The sequence below is a fragment of the Homo sapiens genome, chromosome 13, assembly GCF_000001405.40.
Source record: "Homo sapiens chromosome 13, GRCh38.p14 Primary Assembly".
Classification (NCBI taxonomy): domain Eukaryota; kingdom Metazoa; phylum Chordata; class Mammalia; order Primates; family Hominidae; genus Homo; species Homo sapiens.
This window is the reverse complement of record NC_000013.11, coordinates 106769296-106773622: the sequence shown is the minus strand read 5'-3', so window position 1 is coordinate 106773622 and position 4327 is coordinate 106769296.

Sequence of the window (4327 nt, the reverse complement as noted above, 5' to 3'; positions counted from 1 at the left end):
GCCATGCCAGTTTTTTTGCATGTTGTTTATGGCTGCTTTCCTGCTACCTGGAAGAGTTGAGTGGTTGTAACAGTAACCATATGGTCCTCAAAGCTGAAAATGTTTACTGTCTGGCCCTTTACAGAAAAAGCTTGCCAGTCCCTGGGTTAGATCAAGAATGTGGCAAATCATACTGGGGAGATTATAAGGTTTTAATTTAAAGTTCAGCAGCAGACAAGTGAGGGTAAGAACTTCAGTGGATGAAAAACCTACAAAATACCAGTAGATTTTACAGTTAGACTTTGGTAGTTTTGGGTAGACATATTTCATTGAAATGGTGAAAGTGGAAAATAGATATTAAGAAAATCCTAAGGAAATGGATATTAGTAAAATATTTTGCAATTTACTTAAGATTTTTAGTTTTATTATATCTTTATATATATACAAATATGTATTTACCAACTACATATGAGTTGATAAAATGCATATGCTTGGAAATATTTTTCAATAAGTTTGTGTATGGAGTTGAAGGAAAAGCTAGAATGGAAGCATAATAGCATCACAGGGTAAAAATAAAGCTAAAGGCGAGAGAAAATAATACTATTAGTGCTTTATGATTTCTATTGAGAAAATCAATGTTCTATGAATGCATAGCTCATTCCAGAATAATCAATACAAACCATGTCTAACATATGTGCACTTTTGTTTTCTGGGCCAGTAAAGAGATGCAATTGCTTTTTGCGTGTGTGTGTGTGTGTGTGTGTGTGTGTGTGTGTGTGTGGAGGGAGAGGGGCTGAAGGAACAAGGCATAGAGGAGAGGCTGTGAGTGAGGTGCCACCTCAACGAGAATGAAGAGGGTGGGAGTGGAGGGCTCCTGGAACCCCAGGTAGGATGATTTGCCCGGTAGGAAAGAGGGAGCCTCTTTCTCTCCAGGGAGGAGGAAATGCATGGAGACACCAAGAGACGCTGATGTGCAGGGGAGAACAGAGAGGGGTTCTGAAGCTATAACAAATGGAATGTGTCTAATCACAGATGTTAGAAGCATGGGGTCTATAAATGGTCCTGAGAAAACTGAGACCCTAGAGGATTTAGTGAGAAATTTTATCAGAAACCGGAAGAGTAGGGTCATCTGCCAGTGGGAGAAAGTCAGGGTGAGGCTGGGGAACTGGCTGTGGAAAATATGTGTAACAGCTGTGGGGGATGCATGCAGGAATTTAACTGGGGATGACCAAGGCTGTGAGCAGACTGGGGGCAGTGGTGTGAGCATATGTATGTGTATTACAGAGAGAGAGAAAGACAGAGACAGAGCTTCTCCGACGGTGCTCTGCAATATTCGAGTAGGAGCTGCTGGAGTATGTCGAAGAGGTCATCCTTCAGCACAGGCTTTCTACAACAGGTTCAGCCACGGTTGAAGAGCAACAGGGATTTTCACAGATAGGCAATGACTGCTTCCATGTGAGCCAAGTACAAAGGGCAGGTGCCTGAGAAAACAGGAAGCTGTCTGGAAAGGAATCATATCACTCCTTATATCCTCAGTGACTGGAATATTTGCTGGCTGAATAATGAAAAATGACATCTTTTTGAGAGCTGACAACACTCATCATCACATACTCCCCAAGTGGTGTGACTATAGCACCTACGCCCCTCCCTTACCATGAACCCGTAAGAAAGCTGGGTGCAGGGATGGTGAAGGATTTGCCAGAAGAGACAGCTAGTAAGGAGGAGAAGTGGGATTCAGTCCTGGGTCCATCTGACCCTGAATTTATTCCCTGCTGTGAAGCTTCCTCTGATAAACGAGCAGAGGCCACACGCAACAGTGACGGGAGGAGGGTGAATGAAGTTGGCCTTGGTTCCATATGATCCCTTGAAGCCCGGCGTTCACAACGTTTGTGCAAAGCAGTGCCGTTAATATAAGTCCTTCCACATTTTACTGCCTGTTGTAGAGTCTGCTTGTCATTCTGACAAAGGCAAAACTTTCTGGCAAGCAGAAGCCCCAAGGTGCTACACCAGGGCTGTCCTGTGGGGATGGGGCTTAGAACAAAGGCAGGACTGGAGAACACAGGCAGACGGAAGAATTAGGAAGCCCCGAACAGTTCAGACAAAGACTCAATGCACGGTGGGCTGGGCAGAAATGCGAGATGCTCACAGATGCTGAGGAAGGGGGTCTCGGGCCAGAGAAACCAGCCAATGTTGGGGTGTGGTGTGAACAAGAGGCATATCAAGAATACCAAAGGCCCTGATCCCCAGAACCAGGCCTTTTGTATGGGGTTTTGTTTTACCATGGGAGTGGAAGAGGGACCATGAAGTTGACAAAGCCAATTTGGACAATACTAAAAGTAATTTATCTTAGTGAGGTGTCCCCAGTTATCTGCCTGTGCTATAATCCACTCTTCCTCTGGGTCGTTTATAACTCATGACTATTTCTCCTACTGTAACCTACACCCGTGTCTGAATGGTGGTCTCATGCCACCCATCTCTTCTCCCTGCTGTGCGCTTGCTCTCATATCTTGTTATCTATTGTTTTGACAAAAATGATCCATGGTTGCAGGGTAATTTCCCTTTGTGATGAAGTGCAATTGATTTGGTGACAGTGATTGTTCATGCTCCTTAGGGCTCGATTAGGGAAGGCCCATAGCTTTTGCAGAAAGTTGAGTTTTCCAGATGTGTAATTTCCTCCCAAATAGGACCTTTCCCAGTTGGTCCAAAACATCGATATCACACAGCTCAGGCTGAGCAACTCAGCCTTCCCCAGCCTCTCGCCTTCAGTTCTAACAACAAATATGTGGCATAGTAGCCCTAGAGTCTTGCGCCTCTGTCCACTGCACCTCTCACCCCAAATTTGGCTGGTCCCCACTTTTAGAATTAGTCCACTTTTGATCCAGGAGAATTTGGAGGCAATTCAGTAAAGCAGTTTTATTTTTTGTGGATTCCACTTATGCATGCTGTTCCTGTTCCCTGTGGCCATCGAAAATTGCAAGCCTGCTACACTTTGAAGGAAAAGGTGGTGGAACAAACCAATTAGCATCCCCATCATAATCACTCACCTGTGAGAAGGCTGCTGACTGTCTGAAGTGCATGACAAGCACAGACTTCAGAGTCCCAAGCTGGAGAAGTGGTATCCAAATCACAAATCAATCCACCGGGAGGGTTTTCAAGCGAATAAAAAAGGCAATCAGCACCCGGACTCCAGGGTTGTTTTCTTCTTCATGTCTCCCTGTTCCCCCTTTCATGTGTACCCCAGTGTTTCTACAAACAGAAATAATAAGGACACTCAGGGCCTTCAAACAAAGCAAAATGCAATCTCTTTGTGGCTGACGCATCACTAAATGAATGGTGCTCCCTAGACTCTGGAAGAGAGATATCAGATGTGCTTGGGGATCTTAATAATACTGTTATTAGGGAATAGACCAGTTGAGAAATGTGCTTTTTCTGTAACACCTGGAGCAACAAAAGCCCAGAAGTAGAAGAAAAAAAAAATGTTTTTTTTAGGTCTGCTTTGAAATTCATTTTTCCTCCTTAGTAGGGACCTGCCAATCAAACTCCTGAAGTAAGAAAAAGGTCATTCTTACAAAAAAACAACCAAGGGAAGACTTTCCCTTACCTTGGCGTGTGCAAACACTGGGAGGGAAAATAATGCTATTGGTGCTTTATGATTTCTCTTGAGAAAATCAACGTTCTATGAATGCATAGCTCATTCCAGAATAATCAGTACAAACCATGTCTAACATATGTGCACTTTTGGTTTCTGGGCCAGTAAAGAGACGCTATTTTGTTTTTAACTGAAATTTTACTGAAACTCTGCCCCTAAAAGTTCTTTTTTCAGACATATCAGGAGAAAGGGCTTCATTCCATTCCTTTTGTCTATAAGGAAAAACTAATTCCTTTCCTTAGTCCCTTGTCCCTAATCCTTCTTCTCTCCCTTTTCTTTTTATAAGGGAGTTATAGAATTTTATTAAAATGCTGTATGTTTTAGAGAATCATGGAATATTAAAGTTGGAAGTGATTCTTAGACACCATCAAGCCAAGCTCCCTCCTTTTATAGACAAAAAAATCGAGGCTCAGATACGTTGAAACTTATCCAAATTCTACACCTACTTAGCAGCAAAGCCGGAAACAAAATACAGGTCTCTTCCCTTCCAGCGTAGTGCTCTATCTCCTAGGCTAGGGATTTCCAAAATTACCTGATTACCCAAATTACTCTGGGCCTTTGTGAAAGATACAAATCCCAGGTCTTCTCTGGAGATCCTGTGTCCATCGTGATTATCTTTCCAGGTGATTCTTAGGGCCAAGCATTGACTGGGAAACTTCATGAAAACATGTTGCTCTACCTTTTTCTCTCAAAGGGGGA